This window comes from Homo sapiens, chromosome 16 (assembly GCF_000001405.40).
Source record: "Homo sapiens chromosome 16, GRCh38.p14 Primary Assembly".
Taxonomy (NCBI): domain Eukaryota; kingdom Metazoa; phylum Chordata; class Mammalia; order Primates; family Hominidae; genus Homo; species Homo sapiens.
Genome location: NC_000016.10, coordinates 10,429,277 through 10,455,486, shown reverse-complemented (window position 1 = coordinate 10,455,486; position 26,210 = coordinate 10,429,277). Strand labels below are relative to the sequence as shown.

Genomic DNA, 26,210 nt, shown 5'->3' with positions numbered 1-26,210 from the left:
CATGACTTATTTTATCACAGCTTTAGAAGCCAAAAGTTGGAAATCAGTTTTACTAAGCTAAAATCAAGGTACTGGCCTTCCTTCTGGAGGCTGCCTGCGTTTCTGGACTTGAGGCCCTCCTCCATCTTCAGTGTACTTCATTCCAGCCTCTGCTTCCATTGTCCCATTTCCTTTTTCTGCCTTTGACCTTCTTGCCACTTTTTTTGTAAGAACCCTTTTGATTAAAATGAGCCCACACAGATAATCCAGGATTAACTACCCATCATCTCAAGGTACTTAATTTAATAATACCTACAAAGACTCTTTTCACCATGTAAGGTAACATATTCACAAGTTCTGGGAATTAGGTCATGGACATCTTGCAGGGACCATTTTTTCCATCTACCATAGCTGTAGAAGGTCGAAAAAACACTATCAACCATCTTGGCACAATTAACTCAAACATGACATTTACAGAACATTACAACCAACATTCTGTACATGGAACATTCGTCAAGTAAAATAATATGCTGGACTATAAAATAAGTTTAACTTTCAAAATTTAAGTTTTACATAGTATGTTCTCTGACCAAATGAAATCAGGTATTATAAAAATAAAATACCTAGAAGTCACAAATATTTTGAAATTAAACACACACTTCCAAATAATTCATATGTCAAAGAATACAAGGAACATTATAAATCATTTTGAACTGATGGAAAACAAAGATATGATGTATCAAAGATTATAATATTTGCATTAAGAAGTACATAATCTAACCACTAAGAAGATGCTTAGAATAAGTGATACTTAGAAGGAAATTCAGCTTTAAATGTTTAATGTTAGAAAAGGTCTCTTAAGAACCTGGAAAAAGAACAAATTATAACTAAAGTCAGTAAAAGAAAGACAATAAAGAAAAACAGGAATCAAAATAAAGAAAACAAATGATAGAAATAACAAAATCTGGTTGATCAAGAAGGAAAAATAATAAATATACAGATTAACCCACATCAGAAACAAAGTACAGTGATACACTGTAGAACCCCAAACATTAAAAGGACAAGTGAATTTTTTTTTTTTTTTTTTTTTTTTTTTTTTGAGATGGAGTCTCACACTGTCACTGGGCTGGAGTACAGTGGCACAATCTTGGCTCACTGCAACCTCCGCCTCCCAGGTTCAAGCGATTCTCCTGCCTCAGCCTTCCAAGTAGCTGGGATTACAGGCACCTGTCACCATGCCCGGCTAATTTTTTGTATTTTTAGTTGAGACGGGGTTTCACCGTGTTAGCAAGGCTGGTCTCGAACTTCTGACCTTGTGATCTGCCCGCCTCAGCCTCCCAAAGTGCTGGGATTACAGGTGTGAGCCACCGCGCCCAGCCTAGGACAAGTGAATTTTACTGATAACTTTATGACAGTGAATTCAATAATTTAGATAACATGGATAAATTCCTTACAAAGATAACTTGCAAAACTGATAAAAGATGGAAAAAAAAAAAAAACTGAATGGCTCTGTACCTACGAAAGAATTGGATTTTCAAGTAAAAGCCTTCTTACGAAGAAAGCTGTGGGCCAGGCGTAGTGGCTCATGCCTGTAATCCCAGGACTTTGGGAGGCCAAGGCGGGTGGATCACCTGGGGTCAGGGCAGGCGGATCACATGAGGTCGGGAGTTCAAGACCAGCCTGACCAACATGGAGAAACCCTGTCTCTACTAAAAATACAAAATTAGCCAGGTGTGGTGGCGCATGACTGTAATCCCAGCTACTCGGGAGGCTGAGGTAGGAGAATTGCTTGAACCCAGGAGATGGAGGTTGCGATGAGCTGAGATTGTGCCACTGCACTCCAGCCTGGGCAACAAGACTGAAACTCCATCTCAAAAAAATAAATAAACAAAGAAAGCTCCTTGCTCAGTTTTCAGAATCTAAGTGCTGAGTATACAAGTATTCACTATAAAATTATTTCGGATTGCTGGCAAGATGGCTGAATAGGAACAGCTCCGGTCTGCAGCTCCCAGTAAGATTGATGCAGAAGGCAGGTGATTTCTGCATTTCTAACTGAGGTACCTGGTTCATCTCATTGGGACTAGTTGGACAGTGGGTGTAGCCACAGACAGCGAGCTAAAGCATGGTGGGGCTCTCACCAGGGAAGCACAACGGGTCAAGGAATTCTCTTCCCTACCCAAGGGAAGCCATGATGGACTATGCCGTGAGGAACGGTACACTCCAGCCCAGATACTGCATTTTTCCCACAGTCTTCACAACCCACAGACCAGGAGATTCCCTCCGGTGCCTATGCTACCACGGCCCTGGGTTTCAAGCACAAAGCTGGGTGGCTGTTAGGGCAGACACTGAGTTAGGTGCAGGAGTTTTTCTTTTCCATACCCTAGTGGTGCCTAGAATGCCAGTGAGAGAGAACCGTTCACTCTTCCTGCAAAGGGGGCTGAAGCCAGGGAGCCAAGTGTTCTGGCTCGGCAGGTCCCACCCACACGGAGCCCAGCTAGCTAAGATCCACTGGCTTGAAATTCTCGCTGCCAGCACAGCAGTCTGAGGTTGACCTGGGATGGTCAAGCTTGGTGAGGGGAGGGGCATTGACCATTGCTGAGGCTTGAGTAGGCGGTTTCCCCCTCACAGTGCAAACAAAGCCACTGGGAAGTTTGAACTGGGCCGAGCCCACTGCAGCTCGGCAAGGCCACTGTGGCCAGACTGCCTCTCTAGATTCCTCCTCTCTGGACAGGGCATCTCTGAAAAAAAGGCAGCAGGGGCTTATAGATAAACCCCCCATCTCCCTGGGACAGAGCACCTGAGGGCTTCAGTAGACTTAAATGTCCCTGCCGGACAGGACTCTGAAGAGAGCAGCAGATCAGTGGATCTCCCAGCACAGCATTTGAGCTCTGCTAAATGTCAGACTGGCTCCTCAAGTGGGTCCCTGACCCCCGTGTATCCTGACTGGGAGACACCTCCCAGTAGGGGCCAACAGACACCTCATACAAGAGAGCTCTGGCTGGCATCTGTCAGTGCCCCTCTGGGATGAAGCTTCCAGAGGAAGGAACAGGCAGCAATCGTTGCTGTTCTGCAGCCTCTGCTGGTGATACCCAGGCAAACAAGGTCGGGAGTGGACCTCAAGCAGACCTGCACCACAGGGGCCTGACAGAAGAGTAACAAACAGAAAGGAATAGCATCAACATCAACAAAAAGGACGTCCACTCAGAGACCCCATCCGAAGGTCACCAACATCAAAGACCAAAGGTAGATAAATCCACAAAGATGGGGAGAAACCAGCCCAAAAAGGCTGAAAATTCCAAAAACAAGAACGCCTCTTCTCCTCCAAAGGATCACAACTACTTGCCAGCAACAGACCAAAACTGGACGGAGAATGAGGGTGACAAGTTGACAGAAGTAGGCTTCAGAAGGTGGGTAATAACAAACTCCAATGAGCTAAAGGAGCACTTTTTTTTTTTGGGACGGAGTTTTGCTCTTGTCGCCCAGGCTGGAGTGCAGTGGAGCGATCTCGACTCACTGCAACCTCTGCCTCCCGGGTTCAAGCGATTCTCCTGCATAGCCTCCTGAGTAGCTGGGACTACAGGCGTGCACCACCACGCCCAGCTACTTTTTTGTATTTTTAGTAGAGATGGGGTTTCACTATGTTGGCTAGGGTGGTCTTGAACTTTTGACCTTGTGTCCATCTCGACCTCTCAAAGTGCTGGGATTACAGGTGTGAGCCAGTGTACCCAGCCTAAAGGAGCATCTTCTAACTCAATGCAAGGAAGCTAAGAGCTTTGAAAAAAGGTTAGATAAATAGCTAAGTAGAATAACCAGTTTAGAGAAGAATATAAATGACCTGATGGAGCTGAAAAACACGGTATGAGAACTTCATGAAGCATACACAAGTATTAACAGCTGAACTGATCAAGCGGAAGAAAGGATATCAGAGATTGAAGATCAACTTAATGAAATAAAGTGAGAAGACAAGATTAGAGAAAAAAGAATTTTTGAAAAGGAACGAACACAGCCTCCAAGAAATATGGGACTATGTGAAAAGACCACACCTATGTTTGATTGTTGTACCCGAAAGTGACAGGGAGAAGGGAACCAAGTTAGAAAACACTCTTCAGGATATTATCCAGGAGAACTTCCCCAACCTAGCAAGACAGGCCAACATTCAAATTCAGGAAATACAGAGACCACCACAAAGATACTCCTGGAGAAGAGCAACCCTAAGACACATAATCGTCAGATTCACCAAGGTTGAAATGAAAGAAAAAATGTTAAGGGCAGCCAGAGAGAAAGGTAAGGTTACCCACAAAGGGAAGCCCATCAGACTAACAGCAGCTCTCTCTGCAGAAACCCTACAAGCCAGAAGAGAGTGGGGGCCAATATTCAACATTTTTAAAGAAAAGAATTTTCAACCCAAAATTTCATATCCAGCCAAACTAAGCTTCATAAGTGAAGGAGAAATAAAATCCTTTACAGACAAGCCAATGCTGAGACATTTTGTCACCACCAGGCCTGCCTTACAAGAGCTCCTGAAAGAAGCACTAAACATGGAAAGGAACAACCAGTACCAGCCACTGCAAAAACATACCAAATTGTAAAGACCATTGACACTGTGAAGAAACTGCATCAACTAACCGGCAAAATAACCAGCTAGCATCATAATGACAGGATCAAATTCACACATAACAATATTAACCTTAAATGTAAATGGGCTAAATGCCCCAATTAAAAGACACAGACTGGCAAACTGGATAAAGAGTCAAGACCCATTGGTGTGCTGTATTCAGGAGATCCATCTCACATGCAAAGACACACACAGGCTCAAAATAAAGGGATGGAGGAAGATCTACCAAGCAAATGGAAAACAAAAAAAAAAGCAGGGGTTGCAATCCTAGTCTCTGATAAAACAGACTTTAAACCAACAATGATCAAAAGAGACAAAGAAAGGCATTACCTAATGGTAAAGGGATCAATGAAACAAGAAGAACTATCATAAATATATATGCACCCAATGCAGGAACACCCAGATTCATAAAGCAAGTTCTTAAAGACCTACAAAGAGACTTAAGACTCTCAGACAGTAATAGTGGGAGACTTTAACAACGCACTGTCAATATCAGACAGATCAACGAGACAGAAAATTAGCAAGGATACTCAGGACTAGAACTCAACTCTGGACCAAGTGGACCTAATAGACATCTACAGAACTCTCCACCCCAAATCAATAGAATATACATTCTTCTCAGCACCTCATCATACTTATTCTAAAATTGACCACATAACTGGAATTAAAACACTCCTTAGCAAATGCACAAGAATGGGAATCCTAACAGTCTCTCAGACCACAGTGCAATAAAATTAGAACTCAGTATTAAGAAACTCACTCAAAACCACACAACTACATGGAAACTGAACAACCTGCTCCTGAATGACTAATGGATAAATAACAAAATTAAGGCAGAAATAAAGATGTTCTTTGAAACCAATGGGACCAAAGACACAATGTATCAGAATCCCTGGGACACATTTAAAACAGTGTTTAGAGGGAAATTTATAGCACTAAATGCCCACAAGCGGGAAAGATCTAAAATCGACACCCTAACATCAAAATTAAAAGAAGTAGAGAAGCATGAGCAAACAAATTCAAAAGCTAGCAGAAGACAAGAAATAACTCTAAGATCAGAGCAGAACTGAAGGAGATAGAGACATGAAAAACCCTTAAAAACAAACAAACAAACAAAAAAATCAATGAATCCAGGAGCTGGTTTTCTTAAAAAAGATCCAACAAAATAGACCGCTAGCCTGACTAATAAAGAAGAAAAGACAGAAGAATCAAATAGACACAATAAAAAATCATAAAGGGGATATCACCACTGATCCCACAGAAATACAGACTACCATCAGAGAATAATATGAACACCTCTATGCAAATAAACTAGAAAATCTAGAAGAAATGTATAAATTCCTGGACACATACACCCTCCCAAGTCTAAAGCAGGAAGAAATCGAATTCCTGAAAAGACCAATAACGAGTTCTGAAATTGAGGCAGTAATTAATAGTCTACCAACCAAAAGTCCAGGACCAGATGGATTCACAGCCAAATCCTACCAGAGGTACAAAGAGGAGCTGGTACTGTTCCTTCTGAAACCATTCCAAAGAATAGAAAAAGAGGGAATCCTCCCTAATTCATTTTATGAGTCCAGCGTCATCCTGATACCAAAACCTCACAGAGACACAACAAAAGAAAATTTCAGGCCAATATCCCTGATGAACATCAATGCGAAAATCCTCAATAAAATACTGGCAAACTGAAACCAGCAGCACATCAAAAAGCTTATCCACCACGGTCAAGTTGGCTTCATACCTAGGATGCAGGGCTGGTTCAACATACACAAATCAATAAACTTAATCCATCACATAAACAGAACCAATGAGAAAAACCACATGATTATCTCAATAGATGCAGAAAAGGCCTTTGACAAAATTCAACACCCCTTCATGCTAAAAACTCTCAATAAACTAGGTACTGATGGAACATATCTCAAAATAATAAGAGTTATTTATGACAAACCCACAGCCAATATCATACTGAATGGGCAGAAACTGGAAGCATTCCCTTTGAAAACTGGCACAAGAGAAGGATGCCCTCTCTCTCACTACTCCTATTCAACATAGTATTGGAAGTTCTGGCCAGGGCAATCAGGCAAGAGAAAGAAATATGGGGTATTCAAATAAGAAGAGAGGAAGTCAAATTGTCTCTGTTTGCAGATAACATGCAATTTTTAGATTTAGAAATATCTACATCTAAAATAGATTGAGATTTTCTAAATAATATTTAGAAAACCCCATCATCTCAGCCCCAAATCTCCTTAAGCTGATAAGCAACTTCAGCAAAGTCTCAGGATACAAAATCAATGTGCAAAAATCACAAGCATTCCTATATACCAATAACAGAGAACCAAATCATGAGTGAACTCCCATTCACAATTGCTACAAAGAGAATACCTAGGAATCCAACTTACAAGGGATGTGAAGGACCTCTTCAAGGAGAACTACAAACCACTGCTCAAGGAAATAAGAGAGGCCACAAATAAATGGAAAATATTCCATGCTAATGGATAGGAAGAATCAATACTGTGAAAATGGCCATACTGCCCAAAGTAATTTATAGATTCAATGCTATCCCCATCAAGCTACCATTGACTTTCTTCACAGAATTGGAAAAAAATACTTAAAATTTCATATGGAACCAAAAAAGAGCCCATATAGCCAAGACAGTCCTAAGCAAAAAGTACAAAGCTGGAGGCATCACACTACCTGACTTCAAACCATATTACAAGGCTACAGTAACCAAAACAGCATGGTACTGGTACCAAAAGAGATATATAGACCAATGGAACAGAACAGAGGCCTTAGATATAACACCACCTATCTACAACCATCTGATCTTTGACAAACCTGACCAAAACAAGCAATGGGGAAAGGATTCCCTATTTAATAAATGGTGTTGGGAAACCTGGTTAGCCATATGCAGAAAACTGCAACTGGACCCCTTCCTTACACGTTATACAAAAATTAGTTCAAGATGGATTAAAGACTTAACCATAAGACCTAAAACCATAAAAGCCTTAGAAGAAAACCTAGGTGTTAGGAACAGTTTCTCTTCAAAGGATTTCACCCCCCTTGTCCTTTGTTCTATTTTTAAGTTATCTTTCCTGCCTTTAACAGGCCCAGGCATCCACCAAGCTTGTAGCTGACCCACACTGCCTTACTTTAAGTTGTTAGGTACAAACAATAAACTTCCTGGTTCTTTGTCCTATTCTAAATGCTAAATCTAGTCAATTGGGATCTGTTTAGATTGTGCAGTCTGACCCCAATTAACGGGGGAGGTGGGGGAGGCAGGGAAGACACAGAAACAGGAGCGGCATTAGGAATAAAAACCCCTGCTTTCCTTTGTTCGGTGTGCTCTTGTGATTGTGACTGACGCAGGCAGCACCCTTCTGCAGAAGTAAATTTACCTTGCCGAGAAGTCTTTTGAGTGTTCGTTTTCTTTGCAACTCCCAGCTCATTTCTAACAATTTGGGGGCCCTGCCTGGGATCCCATTCTTCTCCGGAGAAGGGTCTCCGGTCATCTTCTGGGAGGGGATGCATCCCACTGACTTGGTGCAGTGGCCTCAAAGGCTGGAGACTGAGACCCACCCGTTGTGACAAATAAACCTGGAATCTCAGCAACGCGAGAAGACAAGGACTACAAATACTGTGGCGACCAGGTAACTATGTGCACAGACCAAGGTAAGAAAAGCCGCTGGGGTGGTGAAGTGCTTCCTTGATGGTTGGAGTATCTTGGAGGTTGAAAGTGCGTGAATGGTAACAAGCACTACTGCTGTGCAGAGTGAGTGAGTCCAATCTGCAGTTCCGTGGTCAACTCATATGGCTTATGGCGGCCCTTTGGGGGTCCCGTCAGGGTTTTCTACTGATCCATCAATGTTAAGAGGGACCTAAATTCCCTCTGGGGAAGTAGCCAGAGAAGACGAAGCAAAAGGAGAAGAGTGCGAGAAACCTCCAGTGGTTGGGGGGCAGGGGGCGGGTTGAGGCTATAGGAAAGGAAAGGCAAGAAATCTCCAGCAGGGGGGCATTGAGCCTCACACAAACTTCCAATAGTTGGGAAGGCAAGAAACTTCCAATAGGGGATATTGAGCCTCACCCCAAAACCCCCAAGATGGGAAACACCCCAAATAAGGTAGGGCATAAAAAGGATAACACTAGCAGCAATAACATTCCCCCTGATAGTCCCCTAGGGCTTATGTTAAAATATGGAAAGATAATGAAAGGACTAAACACAAGAAAAAGCAACAGATGATAAAATATTGTTGTCTCATTCGGACCCAGGAACCAATCCTCGAACCCTCAGTTTTTTGGCCAAAGTTTGGGTCATATGAGGATTGGATGTGTCAGCTTTCAATAGAACATATTAATAGTAAGAGCCCTACCTCCCAAGAGGAAATAGGTTATGCCCTATGTTGGTGGCAAGGACCTGTACTCCTTCACCCCCTAAAGACTGGAGGGAACAAGTCAAAAACTAACCTTTGGTGGAAAGTTGGTTGTAATCACACCTCATCAAGTTAGAACCATCTTAAATCAAAAGGCAGGAAGGTGGCTTACTGACTCAAGAATTTTAAAATATGAAGCTATCCTGTTAGAGATTATTTAACACTATCCACTGATGATTCACTTAACCCAGCAGGTTTCTTGACTGGAGATCCAAATCTAAAGAGACCTGAACATGAGTGTTTAGATTTAATTAATTACCATACAAAAGTTAGGCCTAATTTAAGAGAGACCCCTTTCAAAACAGGGCAGCACTTATTTATAGGTGGCTCTTGCTGAGTAACTGAAGGAAAAAGATATAATGGGTACTCAGTAGTCAATCAATGGGGAAGCCCTTGAAGAAGTAGGGCTTGAAGTAGCCCTTGAAGAAGTCAGGAAGACTGCCCAATAATTGGTCTGCCCAAACATGTGAATTGTTTGCATTATATCAAGCCTAAAGCACTTGCAGAACCAAGAAGGAACTATTTATACTGATTCCAAGTATGCTTTCAGGGTAGCTCACACTTTTGGAAAAATTTCGATTGAACAAGGCTTTATTAATAGCAAAGGTCAAGACCTAGTTCACAAAGAGTTAATCACCCATGTATTTAATAATCTCCAGGGCCAGGCGTGGTGGCTCACGCCTGTAATCCCAGTACTTTGGGAGGCCGAGGTGGGCAGATCACCTGAGGTCGGGAGTTCGAGACCAGCCTGACCAACATAAAGAAATCCTGTCTCTACTAAAAATACAAAAAAATTAGACAGTCATGGCGGCACATGCCTGTAATTCCAGCTACTTGGGAGGCTGAGGCAGGAGAATTGCTTGAACCTGGGAGGCGGAGGTTGCTGTGAGCCAAGATCACACCATTGCACTCCAGCCTGGGCAACAAGAGTAAAGCCCTGTCTCAAATAAATAAATAAATAAATAATCTCCAGCTGCCAGAATAAATAGCTATTGTCCATGTCCCAGGACACAAGAAAAGCCTTTCTTTTGAAAGTCAAGGAAATAACCTTGCAGATCAAATAGCCAAACAAGTGGCTGTTTCCTCTGAGAGGCCTGTTTTTCACTTAACTCCTTGCCTTCCTCCCCCTACCACAGTCCCCATTTTCTCTTCCACTGAAAAAAGAAAAATTAATAAAAACAGGGGCTAAAGAAAACTCAGAAGGGAAATGGGTATTATCAGACCAAAGAGAAATGTTATCCAAACCTCTCATGAAGGAGGTCTTGTCTCAGCTGCATCAAGGAACCCATTGGGGACCCCAAGCTATGTGTGATGCAGTTCTCAGAGTTTATGGGTGTATAGGAATTTATACCCTAGCCAAACAAGTTACAGATAGTTGCTTAATACGTAAGAAAACTAATAAGCAAACTCTAAAAAAATCACCACTTGCGGGAAGACGTCCAGGACTAAGACCATTCCATAGTGTCCAAACTGATTACACAGAAATACCTCAATAGGTCACCTAAAATTCCTATTAGTAATAGTAGATCACCTCACTCACTGGGTAGAAGCTATTCCCTTTTCAAATGCAACTGCTAATAATGTAGTTAAGGCATTAATTGAAAATATTGTACCCAGGTTTGAAATAATAAAAAACATTGATTCAGATAATGGAACTCGTTTCAGTGCAAATATTGTTAAAGGGCTTACTCAAACTCTAGGAATAAATTGGGAATATCATACTCCATGGCATCCACCTTCATCAAGGAAGGTAGAAAAAAATGAACCAAACTTTAAAGAATCATTTAAATCGATTTTGAAAACTTCATTGCCTTGGACCAAGTGTCTCCCCATTGCCCTGCTCAGAATTCAAACTGCCCCTCAAAAAGACATTACGTACTTGGTCTATCTTCTATTCGAACTGCCCCTCAAAAAGACATTACATACTTGGTCTATCTTCTACTTTGTCTTCTCTTAGGACCCAAGGTCTCTTAGCACAAACACTGCCTCTTGAGTTCCCAGTGCATCTGTATCAATCTGGAGATTACGTCCTCATCAAAAGCTGGAAAGAAGAAAAACTCGAACCAACCTGGGAGACCTTATCTAGTGCCCCTAACCACTGAGACAGCAGTCTGGACCGTTAAGAAAGGGTAGACCCATCACACTCAGGTGAAAAAGGCATGACCCCCTTTGGAGGCATAGGTTGTCACTCCCGGGCCAACACCTTCCAAACTAATATTCAAAAAAACTTAACCTGTCTAATTTGCTCCCTCTTTCTTTCGTTAGCTACCCAGGAACATTTTATTTTATCAATGTAACCTGATCATCGTTTCCTCAAACAATTACATTTGATGCTTGTCTTGTTATGCCCTGTGGGGACCTACAAACCCAAAGGCAACTAGCCTCTTCAGGTAAGTACCTTTGCCCTGGCCCTCTAGAACACACAGAACCCACCCCTAACTCTCACCATTGTGACCGTCTAGCATGGTATTTGAAACCCTGTAGCTCTTGGGAACGTGTTTATTGGACCACTCAGTACCAAGGCTGGACTTTCACGGAAGGTCCCTGTGCCGCCCTAAAGCCTTATCTCTATATCGCTAAATGAACCACCCCCTCTAATTGTCAGTCCTAGCAATGTAACCCAGTTCTTCTCTCCACTACCACTTCTACTTCCATTGACCCTAAGCCCACCTTAGGCTGTCTCTATGGTTTAGGAGCCAATGTTGCTGGAAGGGACCCTATAGCCTCCTTGAAATACATTTTGTCCACCATTCTCCACCTCCTACCACTTCACCTTCCCTAAATCCACCAAATCAAATAGTGGGTGCCACTCCTCACCCCCTTCCCAATGACAAAACTAAAGTAGCTATTGTAAAAGTAAAAGATTTAAAACAGACTTTAGCAATTGAGACTGGATACCAAGAAGCAAATGCCTGCATGGAATGAATTGAATATTCTGTTTGCACTCTCAACAAAAGCAGTTGTTACGCTTGTGCACACGGTAGGCCAGAGGCCCAGGTTGTCCGCTTTCTACTTGCATGGCCTTCAAATCGACTGGGTGTGGACTGTATGGTAGCTCTCTTCTAGCACCCCACAGCCTGGGGTAATAAGTCATGCCAAGCTCTCTCTCTGCTATTGCCTGAAGTCCAGCACCCTGCAGGTCAGTCCCTGAGGGCCACCCAGCTTCCATCTAACGATGCCAATTTTACTTTGTGTCTCTCATGACAGGGAGAAAATTTGGCATTTCTTGGAGACCTAAAGGGATGCAGTGAGCTTAAGCCTTTCTAAGAGCTTACCAATCAGTCTGCCCTTACTCATCCTCGAGTGGATGTGTTGTGGTACTGTGGTGGACCCTTATTGGACACTCTGCCAAATAACTGGAGCAGTACTTGCGCTCTAATTCAATTGGCCATCCCTTTCACTCTAGCATTCCATCAACCAGGAAAAGGAAAAACACCACCATAAAACAAGAGAGGCCCCTCACGATCTTTTGATTCTCACGTTTATATAGATGCCATTGGAGTCCCATGAGGGGTACCAGATAAATTTAAAGCATGAAACCAAACAGCTGCAGGGTTTGAATCCTTGTTCTGGTGGGTAACTGTTAATAAAAACGTGGATTGGATAAATTATATCTACTATAACCAACAACAATTTGTCAGTTATACTAAGGATGCCATTAAAGGAACAGCTGAGCAATTAGGGCCAAATGGCCTGTGAAAATAGAATGGCACTAGATATGATACTAGCAGAAAAAGATGGAGTCTGTATCGTGATAGGAACCCAATGTTTTACCTTCATCCCTAACAATACAGCCCCTCATGGAACAATCACTAAACCTCTACAAGGTCTCACCTCCTTATCTAATGAGTTAACCAGGAATTCTAGGGTAAATGACCCCTTTACAGGATGGTTAGAAAGGTGGTTTGGTAAATGGAAAGGACTCATGGCTTCTATTTTTACTTCCCTTGCAATTATAGTTAGGGTACTCATTCCCACTGGCTGCTGTATCATACCTTCTATTCATGGACTAGTTCAATAAAACAATAAAACTTATAAAAACAGCCCCTACTAAAACTTTCCTCATTTCTTTTCCACACTATTCTGACAAGCTTTTACTGCTAGAAAATCAAGAAGAACAGCAAAGTCAAGACATGTTAGATAAGTTTGAAGAATAAAGTGTATAAATTCAAGAGGGGGAAAATTGTTAGGAACAAACAAGTTTCTCTTCATAAGGGTTTCACCCTCCTTGTCCTTTGTTCCAATTTATAAGTAACCTTTCCTGCCTTTTACACACCCAGGCATGCCTTCATCTACCATGGTTGTAGCTGACCCACACCACCTTACTTTAAGTTGTTAGGTACAAACAAACTTCCTGGTTCTTTATCCTATTCTAAATGCTAAATCTAGTCAATTGGGATGAGTTTAGATTGTGCAATCCGACCCCAATTAATGGGGGGAGGACACAGAAACAGGAACAGCATTAGGAATAAAATCCCCTGCTTTCCTTTGTTCAGTGTGCTTTTGCGATCATGACTGATGCAGGCAGCACCTTTCTGCAGAAGTAAATTTGCCTTGTTGAGAAATCTTTTGTCTGAGTGCATGTTTTCTTTGTGACTCCCAGCTCTTGTTTCTAACATAGGCAATAACATACAGGACATAGGAATGGGCAAAGACTTCATGACTAAAACACCAAAAGCAACAGCAACAAAAGCCAAAATTGACAAATGGGATCTAATTAAACTAAAGAGATTCTGCGCAGCAAAGGAAACTATCATCAGAGTGAACAGGCAACCTACAGAATGGGAGAAAATTTTTGCAATCTATCCATTTGACAAAGGGCTAATGTCCAGAATCTATAAAGAACTTAAATTTACAAGAAAAAAACAACCCCATCAAAAAGCGGGCGAAGGATATGAACAGACACTTCTCCAAAGAAGACATTTATGCAGCCAACAAACATGAAAAATAGCTGATCATCACTGGTCATTATAGAAATGCAAATCAAAACCACAGTAAGATACTAACTCATGCCAGTTAGAATGGCGATCATTAAAAAGTCAGGAAACAACAGATGCTGGAGAGGATGTGCAGAAATAGGAATGCTTTTTATACTGTTGGTGAAAGTGTAAATTAGTTCAACCATTGTGGAAGACAGTGTGGCGATTCCTCAAGGATCTATAGAACCAGAACTACCACATGACCCAGCAATCCCATTACTGGGTATATACCCAAAGGATTATACATCATTCTGCTATAAAGACACATGCACACGTACGTTTATTGCAGCACTATTTACAATAGCAAAGACTTGGAATCAACCCAAATCCCCGTCAATGATAGACTGGATAAAGACAATGTGGCACTTATACACCATGGAATACTATGCAGCCAAAAAAAGGATGAATTCATGTCCTTTGCAGCGACATGGATGAAGCTGAAAACCATCATTCTCAGCAAACTAACACGAGAACAGAAAACCAAACACTACATGTTCTCACTCATAAGTGGGAGTTGAACAATGAGAACACATGGACACACGGAGGGGAACACCACACACCAGGGCCTGTCAGGGGGTGGGGAGGCTAGGGGAGGGATAGCATTAGGAGAAATACCTAATGTAGATGACAGGTTGATGGGTCTGACAAACCACCATGACACGTGTATACCTATGTAATGCAACTGCACATTTTGCTCATGTACCCCAGAACTTAAACTATAATTAAAAACACATAATTTCAACTTTGCTGTATATATTTGATACTTTTCATGATAAAATGGGGGTGGGGGAAGCCAATCTTGGCAATCACCAATCCTCTTTCTACTCCCTTTACTACAGAAATACAAGTGGCATGTACTACCTAAGGGTGTCTTTTCCAGAGACAGATGCATGGGAACACTCTAAGTAAAAACTTACTTACCTTTACACCTTCTGTCCTAGCCTGGAAATATATTCATTTCTTCTAATCAAACCACTTATATGAGTCAAATAGATGATTACAATTCCTGTGTGTTTATACAAACCTTAGAGGCTCCATTACTGGATAACATGTTTGGTTTCAAACAATTCCTTTGAAATAATAATACTGTTTTAATACGTCTTTGAAGTTTTGCTATTTTTGCCTAGAAGAAAAAGAGAAAAAAATAAATACTAAGCCAGAGTACTATATATCACATAGAGATAGAGGGTAAATTATTTGCCAAAGTAGTTTTGTAAGACCTAGACATCTACCCAAATGAAAAATTCTAATATATGCAAAAGCTTGAAATCACATTTTATGCTTGTATAACATATACATATATATAAATAAAAAAAATTTTTTTTTGAGATGGAGTTTCGCTCTTGTTGCCCATGCTGGCGTGCAATGGTGCGATCTCGACTCACTGCAACCTCTGCCTCCCGGGTTCAAGCGATTCTCCTGCCTCAGCCTCCCAAGTAGCTAGGATTACAGGCATGCGCCACCATACCTGGCTAATTTTGTATTTTTAGTAGTGACGGGGTTTCTCCATGTTGGTCAGGCTGGTTTGAACTCCTGACCCCAGCATCCACCTGCCTCTGCCTCCCAAAGTGCTGGGATTACAGGCGTGAGCCACCGTGCCCAGCCTATGCTTGTATAATATTAAAGGTAAGGAAGATAAAAATCTCAAACTTCGGCCGGGCGCAGTGGCTCACGCCTGTAATTCCAGCACTTTGGGAAGCCGAGGCGGGCAGATCACTTGAGGTCAGGAGTTTGAGACCAGCCTGACCAACATGGAGAAACCCCATCTCTACTAAGAACACAAAAAATTAGCTGGGTGTAGTGGCAGGCGCCTGTAATCCCAGCTACTCGGGAGGCTGAGGCAGGAGACTCGCTTGAACCTGGGAGGCAGAGGTTGCAGTGAGCTGAGATCACACGACTGCACTCCAGCCTAGGCGACAGAGTGAGACTGTTTAAAAAAAAAAAAAAAAAAAAGGCTGGGGGCGGTGGCTCACGCCTATAATCCCAGCACTTTGGGAAGCCGAGGCAGGCGGATCATGAGGTCAGGAGATTGAGACCATCAACGCTAATACAGTGAAACCCGTCTCTACTAAAAATACAAAAAATTAGCCGGGCACGGTGGCGGGCGCCTGTAGTCCCAGCTACTGGGACTACAGTAGGCTGAGGCAGGTGAATGGTGTGAACCCTGAGGCAGAGCTTGCAGTGAGCCGAGATCGCGCCACTGCACTCCAGCCTGGGCGACAGAGCGAGACTCCATCTCAAACAAACGAAACAAAACAAAAAACTCAAACTTCTAATTGGTCTACAATAAAATTAATGTGGTTAAAAACATCAATCAGCAAGTAATACTAGAAGAGGAAAACAAAAAGTCCAAAAAGGCTTGAAACAGGTTGTACAAGTTCTAATAAAGGATATATTTAGGTTTAAAAGAAACTGCCTATTTTTTTTTTTTTTTTTTGAGATGGAGTCTCGCTGTCGGCAGACTGGAGTGCAGTGGTGCAATCTCTGCTCACTGCAATATCTGCCTCCTTGGTTCAAGCAATTCTCCTGCCTCAGCCTCCTGAGTAGCTGGGACTACAGGCACACGCCACCATGCCCAACTAATTTTTGTATTTTTAGGAGAGATTGGGTTTCACTATGTTGCCCAGGACGGTCTCGATCTCTTGACCTTGTGATCCGCCCACCTTGGCCTCCCAAAGTGCTGGGATTACAGGCATGAGCCATCGCGCCTGGCCGAAGCTGCCTAAGTATTAAGCCTGTCAATTGACACAGAATGCCTAACAGTTCTGAGTATTTCTCAAAAGCCGATATTGCTAAGCTATAGTAAATTACATTGCCTATGATATGTTCTCACATTAGGCTAATGGCCAGGAATCAGGTATGTCTTCCCTTATTGTTTTCCTTTGCTAATATGAAAAATATCACCAAATTCTTCTTTTTAAAAGGACTCACATGGGCCAGGTGTGGTGACGCACGCCTGTAGTCCCAGCACTTTGGGAGGCTGAGGCTAGAGAATCACTTGAGCTCAGGAGTTTGAGGGAAGCATGGGCAACATGGTGAAACCTCATCTCTAAAAAAAAAAAAAAAACCCAAAAATTAGCAGGGTATGGTGGTGTGCACCTGTAGTCTCAGCTACTCTGGAGACTGAGGTGGTAGGATTGCTTGAGCTCAGAAGGCAGAGGCTGCAGTGAGCCACCGTACTGCAGCCTGAGCAACAGAGCAACAACACCCCCTACTCCCCTAAAAAAGACTCAAATGAAATCAAAACTTACCAAAAGTTTATCAGCTATTCCTTCATGCTTATTTCTGCACTCTGTCTTCCCAATGCGTTGGTTCAATTCTTTCAGTTTCTTATCAAATAGTTCATAATTTATGCTATAGATCTCCTGCTGAATCAAATGTCTGACCTAGAATTTTAAAATAAAAACCAAAACACCCTACGTTTCAAATTTAAAAGCAATTTTACTTTCTACTTAAAAAGCCTTGCTCTTTTCCAGATTTACTGTAACCAATTAAATATAGTTTATTTATATTTGTATGTTTATATAACTATACCAGTAAGTTTTTCAAAACTTGAATATTAAACTCAGAACACATCCAATATTTAAGTATACTGGACATGTTAGAAATTAAATTTATTCTCATAATGCTAACTTTAGTTTCCTATAGTTCCACTTGAATTCCATACTATACATTATAGAAACAATTAAAAGACTATATGCCATTTATATTTTTTAATATCCATAACTCCTAGTTAGTATTCCATATAAAGGAACTCTACTTATCTGAAAACCAGCACCTGATGAAAATGGTTGGTTGGTCTGTAGTAGATATAGAACAAATTACACAAGTGTGAGACTTGACATTACCACTAATAAGCTACTTGACCCTTTAGTCAGTCACATTATTTTTGAGCTTCATTTTCCTTGTTGACAAATGAGTAGATAATATAATAAATGTTGAACAAGTGATACTCAAAGGATTTTTATAGGAACATAAGGTAATACGCAAAAGAGCACCATAAAATAAAAAACACTGAATTGATATGAAAGAAGTAAATATGTAAGATAATCACCATTACTTCCATAATTGTTTTAGGGGGTGGCTTTCTTATTGTTAAAATTGAAATAATATCAATCAGTTGGTTAGCTCAGCTAGTTAGAGCACGGTGCTAAAACTGAAAGAAGCCAGCCGGGTGCAGTGGCTCACGCCTGTAATCCCAACACTCTGGGAGGCCGAGGTGGGCAGATCACGAGGTCAGGAGTTGAAGACCAGCCTGACCAACATGGTGAAACCCCGACTCTACTAAAAATACAAAAATTAGCCAGGCATGGTGGCAGGCAACATAGTCTCAGCTACTCTGGAGGCTGAGACAGGAGAACTGCTTGAATCCAGGAGGTGGAGGTTGCAGTGAGCCGAGATCACACCACTGTACTCCAGGCCTGGGTGATTGAGCGAGACTCCGTCTCAAAAAAAAAAAAAAAATGGGAAAAATAGCCAAGGACAATTATGTAGTTACCAATGTTATCTGCCATAATGCATGCCATTCTAACAAATCGTAGTAGCTGTAATATGAAAAATTAATGAACTTATCTTTTTTTTTTGAAAACAGACTGGCCCATTTTCAGGGAGAATAATTAATTTCAATGCCCACTGATATGAGCAGCTCTGCTGAGCCATACATTCAGAAACATTCACTGTAGTTTTTCACTCAGTGTGTATCCTCCTGGTAAGCAATTTTCACCACAGTGTAAGTAGTCTTTGTTAATATGACCTGTTATGATACATTTAAGGTATTTATAATATTTATATATTTTTTCCTCCAGTATCTTGCTTCATGATGCTCAAAATAGAACACATAGTTCCTACGTTAAACTCTTATATTGATATCACCTGGATGATTATATTCTTTAATTTTGATCATTCCCAAGGCTCTTCCTTCCTGTTTCCAAGTGTTCTCACTCTTCAACATTGTCTACTTGATCTCTTCTCTAATGCTTCACTAACATTTCTTCCATGGTTTCTCTACATTAGACATGATTGTCATTTTTACTTTCATAACTTTTAAACATGTGAGCAAATGAATGTGCTCAAAATGTATTATTTAAAAAAAAAAGGCTCAGTAACACATACTATTATATTTTTTGGGACAGAGTCTCGCTCTGTTGCTCAGGCTGCAGTGCAGCAGCGTGATCCCGGCTCACTGCAATCTTCACCCACCATGTTTAAGTGATTTTCCTGCCTCAGCCTTCCTAGTAGCTGAGCCTACAGGCATGCTCCACCATGTCCAGCTAATTTTTATATTTTTAGCCGAGACAGGGTTTCACCATTGTTGGCCAGGCTGGTCTTGAACTCCTGACCTCAAGTGATCCACCCAACTTGGCCTCCCAAAGTGCTAGGATTATAAGCGTGAGCCACCACGCCCGGCCAATACTATTATTTTTACCGATGACCATTACCTATTACTCGTGTGGTTTCTATGGATCATCACATGTTTGTTAGTTCACTGGCTGGGTTCAATATGTGAAGCTCATACCCACATGAATCTTGGAGAAACAAATCTAAATCTTTTGAACGTGGAAACACTGTTTTGTACAGTGTTTCTCTAACAGTGTTCCTCATCCTTGGTGAGGAACAATCACATGGGATGGTTGTTAAAAATCGAATTCCTAGGCCACATCCTGGATCCACCAAACACAATCTTTTGGAAAGGAGCCTGGAAAGTTGTATACTAAACAGTTACTACAAATGATTTTTATCAGGTACGTTTGAGAAAGCAGTAGCCTACAACAACAGTCTTCAACTATTAGCTCAAGAAACCACAATTTAAACAAGTACTCCTGGTGGTTCACATTGGGACAGGTCCTTAAATTTGATCATTTTTGACTAAGTACCCACCATGGGGCAACTCCTCTTGGTTAGACTATACACTTGTTCTAATTTAATGGTAATGTTCCTTATACAAAAGGAAGACACAATAACCTCCATCAAATACCTCATAAATGTTTTTACCAATGGTAATGTGCCCATCAACAGGGAATCAGATTGAAGTCCTGGCTTCAAAGTGGAGATGGCAGCCAAACTGGCCTAAAGTTTGGAGAAAGTACAAACTTATCTCCAATCTGTGCCAACTTTCTGAGATAATGGGTAGAGTGAATAACTTAAGACTGTAAAGGAAAAACCCTTCCTCTTCAGTAATTTAACTGGAATTAACCCGGCCATGCTCCTTATGAAACCTCAAAAGGCTAAGAAATGATCACTGCAGGACTCCTTCAGTAGGGGAGAACAATGTCAGAATGACGGGGAGGGCTATCTCATTGAGATTCAAACAAGGTAAACATCTAGATATGGTTGAGAGAGACAACTGTTTGGACAGCAATAAGAAGTGAGGAAAAGCTAGCTATTTAGAGATGGTTATGTACACATCAGAAGTTACTTCTGGCTGGGCGCGGTGGCTCACACCTGTAATCCCAGCACTTTGGGAGGCCGAGGCGGGCGGATCACTGAAACTGCTGTTCAAGACCAGCCTGGCCAACATGGTAAAATCTGTCTCTACTAAAAATACACACAAAAAGTTAGCTGGGTGTGCTAGTGCACACCTGTAGTCCCAACTACTCAGGAGGTGGAGGTAGCACTGAGCCGAGACTGTGCCACTGCACTCCAGTCTGGGTGACAAAGTGAGACTCTGCCTCAAACAAACAAACAAACAAAAACTTACTTCTCACTTCAGCTACTAATTACTGGAAACAAGACACAGCTGGAATCCCCAACCTTCTTCTTGAATAACATGGTCCTTAGGGCTAGGATCCATGCTTACCATACTTCTACCCTTTCCCTGCCAACAACAGAACACTTACATATTTTTTACTGTCTCCTTTGGTCTTCTTCGAAGAAAACCAAAAGGGAGACACAGAAAAACTGTTGACTCGCCCTTTAAGCTGGTTCTGCGTAACTCTTTCCCTTTATTTTCCCTTATTATTAGGTGAAGAATACACATTCATAGTATATGTAACTATGTAATTGTAATGGTCTGTTTTAAAAAATGGTAGTGTTTCTGTTTCTGAAACAGTTTGCAGGGTAGTTTAGACGGGGAAATTTCGGTCCATTACAGCTGGAAGACATTAGTCTACTAGGTAATGATTTGTAGTGGTGGCATTCTAGTGGTAGTGAAATAGGAAAACATGGTCATCAAAACCCGTCCTCAGTATAACCATTCTACTAGAACTGAAACACGCTACATACACTTCAGCTAACAATTGATCAAACGCATACTGAGACTGTAGTACAATGAGATAAAATGAGGCCACAATGAAAGCAAGAAGTGTATTTAATGATGCTATACAGCAAAATGTCAGATAATGTACCATATCCGTTTAAGTTTGGAAAATAGGGCAAGTAAACCTGAATGCACAGGGACTTTGCAATGGACTTCCAGGTTGTTTGAGTCTTCTGGGTTGTGGTGAGATCTACAAATGGATAGAGCTGCAGATCTAAGAACCCCATGACTAGTACAAAAGAGACTGGATTCTTTAATAAAGCTGAAGGTCATGCAGTGTCTGACTTACAGACAAATATGAGTGTAATACTGACTGAAAGCCCATTCTCTTTTTGCAACAGGACTCTACCTACACATGATCCCTAGGTTATTCTGCATGAGACCATTTTCAAGAAACCAGAGCTGTTTTGGTAATGTAAGTAGTTATCTCTCCCCAGTCTGTCTGATAATTTGGCTTTCACACACCAGCTCTGCAGCAAGTGAAAGTCGTCTGTATTATGCCACTGTGGGGACCAGATAATTAACTTTTACCATGTTTTACTAATCAAAAGTAAAAGTTCCATTTAAGCCCCAATATTTTACCTGTTCCAGGAATGCTGTTTGCCTTTCCAAACTTACACAAATATTTTCATTAATTTGCTCTGAAGTTTTCATGCGTTTAACATTTTCCTCGTTTTCTGAAAACATCCTCTTCTTTTGATAATGGCCTTGAGGAGATCAAAAGATTAGAAAGAAAGATATTTTAAAGAAAAAAACAGGTTCAGTGTGGTGGCTCATGTCTGTAATCCCAGCACTCTGGGAGGCTAAGGAGGGAGGGTGGCTTAAGGCCAGGAGTTCAAGACCAGCCTGGGCAACATAGTGAAAATTCATCTCCACAAAAAATTTAAAATTAGCTGGGTATGGTGGGGCATGCCCGTAGTCTCAGCTACTCAGGAGGTTGAGGTGAGAGGATTGCTTGAGGCTGGGAGGTTGAGGTGGCAGTGAGCACCTTGACTACTGCACTCTAGCCTGGGCAACACAGTGAGACCCTGTTTCAAGGAGGAAAAAAGAGAAGGAAATAGGAATTCTCTAATTTAGAGACCCTCTGAGCAAATGGAAAAACTAAAATGTGACACTGCAGCATTTTTTAGAACATTCAATTGCATAAATACGTACCCACAAACTAACCTTGAAAAAAAATGAGTTATCTTAGGTAGGGTTCTGGTCTCAGATACTCTGTCCCTTTAATCTTACTTAATAACTCAATACACATATACGAACAAAAACTTAACAAATTATGGCATTTAATTCTCTATTTATAGTGACTTAAGTGGTTCTACGTTATTTTATATAAAGGTACTCTTTTTTCATTTTGAGAAGGAGTCTCACTCTTGTCGCCCAGGCAAGAGTGAAGTGGCACGATCTTGGCTCAGTGCAACTTCCGCCCCCCAGGTTCAAGCAATTCTCCTGTCTCAGTCTCCCAAGTAGCTGCGATAATAATAATAGGTGCCCACCACCACGCCTGGCTAATTTTTTTTGTATTTTTAGTAGAGACGGGGTTTCGCCATGTTGGCCAGGCTGGTCTTGAACTCCTGACCTCAGGTGATCCACCTGCCTCAACCTTCCAAAGTGCTGGGATTGTATTCGTTAGGCACAGCGCCCGGCTTCTTTTTTTTTCTTTAAGAGACAGGGTCTTGGATCTGTTGCCCAGGCTAGCCTGGATGGCTCAAGCGATCCTCCTGCCTCGGCCTCCCAAAGTGCTGTTAATTACAGGCATGAGCCACCACACCCAGCCTATTATACATATTTGAAATAGATGATACTGTTATTATTTTTAAGGAATTTTAAATTCATCTTGTTAAATGACCATTCTGTAGTCTAGACAAGAACACAAAATTTATAGCATTAAATCAGTTTTTTTCTATTTCATTAACAAAATACCCTACTTCAAATGAAATTCACTTTTGCTATTTTAATGATGTTATAACCCAAGGACTTCATTTATTATTTGGGGTGCTTCTCTTTCTCTACACACACATATACACATGTGTGAATATATTATCTATCATACTTAGCATGTGATTTACAGGTCAATTCTATAGAAAGAAATAGGGTTGGCTGGGCACAGTGGCTCACGCCTGTAATCCCAGCACTTTGGGAGGCCAAGGCGGGTGGATCACGAGGTCAGGAGTTCGAGACCAGCATGACCAACATGGTGAAACCCTGTTTCTACTAAAAATACAAAAAAAAAAAAAAAAAAAATTAGCCGGGCGTAGTGGTGCCCATCTGTAATCCCACCTACTCAGGAGGCTGAGGCAGGCAAATCACTCGAACCCAGGAGGTGGGGGTTGCAGTGAGCCAAGATCGCGCCACTGCACTCCAGCCTGAGCGACAGAGCGAGACTCCGTCTCAAAAAAAAAAAAAAAAAAAAAGAAATAGGGTTACCAACAATTTTTAAAACTCACTCTTTCAACTAGCCTCCTTCTTAATCTAATAAAACTTCAAAATAAGAAGAGATGTATATGAAATGAACCAAATAATTGCTATAAACCACCTTTTGATATTTTGTACTTAAGGAAAAGTGATTGATTCCTTCTTTGCAATAATTACCCTTTTAATATGGTGGATACCTGTCCCCCACCTCACTAAGAATGGTTCAGAAACAAGATACTGTGAAATAATTGTCATCATTTACCTTTTTTCTGTCTATACTGGTTTGTATATTTGAGACTTTAAAATACCCTAAAGAAAAGTGACTATTTTAATTTTTCTAAAAGGTGCATAAGTATATACTTACTGTTGTTATTAGTGTCAAGTGATGACTGCCATGTTGAGTCTGCACTTTCACAATTTGAAATACTGGTTCTACTACACTCATCAGTTTTCAAAATGTCATCAGCACAGTTGTTAGAAGTGACTGAATTCACCAAATTAGGTGTTTTCTCAACAGGCACAAAACCTGAGTCTTCTGAACATAAAATGTTGTCACTTTGCCTTTTATCATGTGATTCTGAATTGGAGTTTGTTTCTAAATGGAAAACCATCTGGTCAGTTTTCTTGTCACCCACGGTACTGGTTACTGTAGACTCTGGCATCTGAACAACACCACTCAATACACTGGGTGGACAGCAACTGGACTTTAGACTACAAGCCCCCTCATGCTCAAAAAGGGATCTTGTTACATTTGTCTGATGCTCAGAATCGTTTTCAGAAGTGTTCAGTGAATCTTTTGCCTCTTCTGTGAAGACTCTGCTGGGGGATTCTGTTGTTCTACTTGGCTTTTGGTACGAACAAACAACTTGTTCCAATTTTGTTTCTGAATGAACAATTTCTTCTACTGGTTTTATGCAATTCTGAGAGAATACTTTACTTTTCTCTGATATTGAATTTTTATTAGAGTCCAATGAGGATGCACCATTTTCAGAAGGGCTACATTTGGTTATTTCAGTCGTCCTAGTTATGACACTAGGACTGAAACTCTGATTACCGCTTGGAACATTACTCCCAATTGCTGTTTTCAGCGCTTCAACATTCCTTGACTTATTCAGCATCTCTACTTGCTTCCGGCAACTTAGGGGCATTGTCTTTTTGGCTTTTAATATCTTCCGTTTACTTCTATCTGGACTTGCCATCTTTCATATCCTGGAATTTAAGACATCATATTTAAATGCATTTCTCTAGTGAATAAAAGTTATTTACTACTGAATTAAAGTTATTTATTTACAATATTAAAATAACATTGACACTGTCTCTCCATATTTAGATAATCACCTTACTGAAAATCATATCCATTTTCATGACACTGAAAACATAAAAATCTTTTCTATTGTTTCTATAAATCTAAACTACATAAATTCAAAATCTGTATTGCTAGTAAGCCTCTACCTGATAGTTTTATCTAGCCACTTCTTGTTATATCACCTCAGTGCTATAACCATTCACTATTTTTTTATCCAGGTAAGTCATAGTTTAAATAATCTAAACATTAAATTGCACTTATTCATAAAAACAAAAAAAAGTTTTTATAAAACATTCCATTTTCTATACATAATGGCATCTGTTTAAGCTTTCCTAATGTTCAAGTTTCTAAAATAAATGTGGCCAGGTGTCGTGGCTCATGCCTGTAATCCCAGCAGTTTGGGAGGCCGAGTTGGAAGGATTATTTGCAGTAAGGGGTTCGAGACCAGCTTGGTCAACGTGGTGAAACCCTGTCTCTACTAAAAGTACAAAAATTAGCCAGGCATGGTGGCATGCACCTGTAATCCCAAGCTACTCGGCAGGCTGAAGCACAAGAATCACTCGAACCCGGGAGGTGGAGGTTGCAGTGAGCCAACATCGCGCCACTGTACTCCAGCTTGGGCAACAGAGTGAGACAGTCTAAAAATAAAATAAAATAAAATAAAAATAAAATAAAATAAAACAAAATAAAAATAAAATAAATGAAGTAAAATAAATAAAATAAAAATTAAATTAAATTAAAATAAAATAAAATAATAAAATAAAATAAATAAAATAAAATAAATAAAATAAAATAAAATAAAATAAAATAAAATAAAACCAGCACTAAGATACATAACATTCCAGCTTAAATAAATAAGCCAACTAACCTGGTAGGGTGGCTCACGCCTGTAATCCTAGCACTTTGGGAGGCCGAGGCAGGTGGATCACCTGAGGTCAGGAGTTCAGGCCAGCCTGGCCAACAGGGCAAAACGCCATCTCTATTAAAAATACAAAAACTAGCCAGGCATGCTGGCACATGCCTGTAATCCCAGCTTCTGGGAGGCCGAGGCAAGCGAATCACTTGAACTCAGGAGGCAGAGGTTGCAGTGAGCCGAGATCGTGCCATTGTACTCCAGCCTGGATGACAGAGCGAGACTCTGTCTTAAAACAAACACACAAACAAACCTGATATATATACTAAATAAATCCAAAAAACAGCACAATACTCTTCATTAATTAAGACCCTAATATGCCTA

The 26,210-nt window shown here is 41.0% G+C and overlaps 1 protein-coding gene and 1 long non-coding RNA gene across 20 annotated transcripts in view; one reads left to right on the top strand and one right to left on the bottom strand.

The window, feature by feature from the left end:
- ATF7IP2 (activating transcription factor 7 interacting protein 2) overlaps window positions 1-26,210 on the bottom strand; it is a 97,578-nt gene that overhangs the window by 28,152 nt on the left and 43,216 nt on the right. For 11 of the 16 annotated variants that reach the window (NR_147927.2, NR_045815.3, NR_045816.3 and 8 more), the window contains 4 exons: window positions 24,032-24,876; window positions 21,838-21,962; window positions 17,252-17,386; window positions 15,025-15,123 (listed from right to left, as the gene is read on the bottom strand). Coding sequence is in view for 12 of the 16 variants with exons in the window: in NM_001393719.1 (NP_001380648.1) it covers window positions 15,025-15,123; window positions 17,252-17,386; window positions 21,838-21,962; window positions 24,032-24,866 (1,194 nt within the window). In the remaining 4 variants the exon portion in view is untranslated. Of the gene's footprint in view, window positions 1-295; window positions 391-15,024; window positions 15,124-17,003; window positions 17,050-17,251; window positions 17,387-21,837; window positions 21,974-24,031; window positions 24,877-25,841; window positions 26,116-26,210 lie in introns of those variants that run through there. The other 5 variants (XM_006720953.4, XM_047434685.1, XM_017023708.2 and 2 more) reach the window with 4 other exon arrangements.
- LOC107984877 (uncharacterized) lies at window positions 385-14,742 on the top strand. 4 transcript variants are annotated; one of them, XR_007064982.1, is made up of 3 exons: window positions 385-11,169; window positions 11,287-11,411; window positions 13,643-14,742. It is a non-coding gene; the product is annotated as an uncharacterized LOC107984877 (long non-coding RNA). The 4 variants fall into 4 exon arrangements; XR_001752079.3 differs by having other exon boundaries at window positions 13,625-14,742; XR_007064981.1 differs by having other exon boundaries at window positions 385-11,411.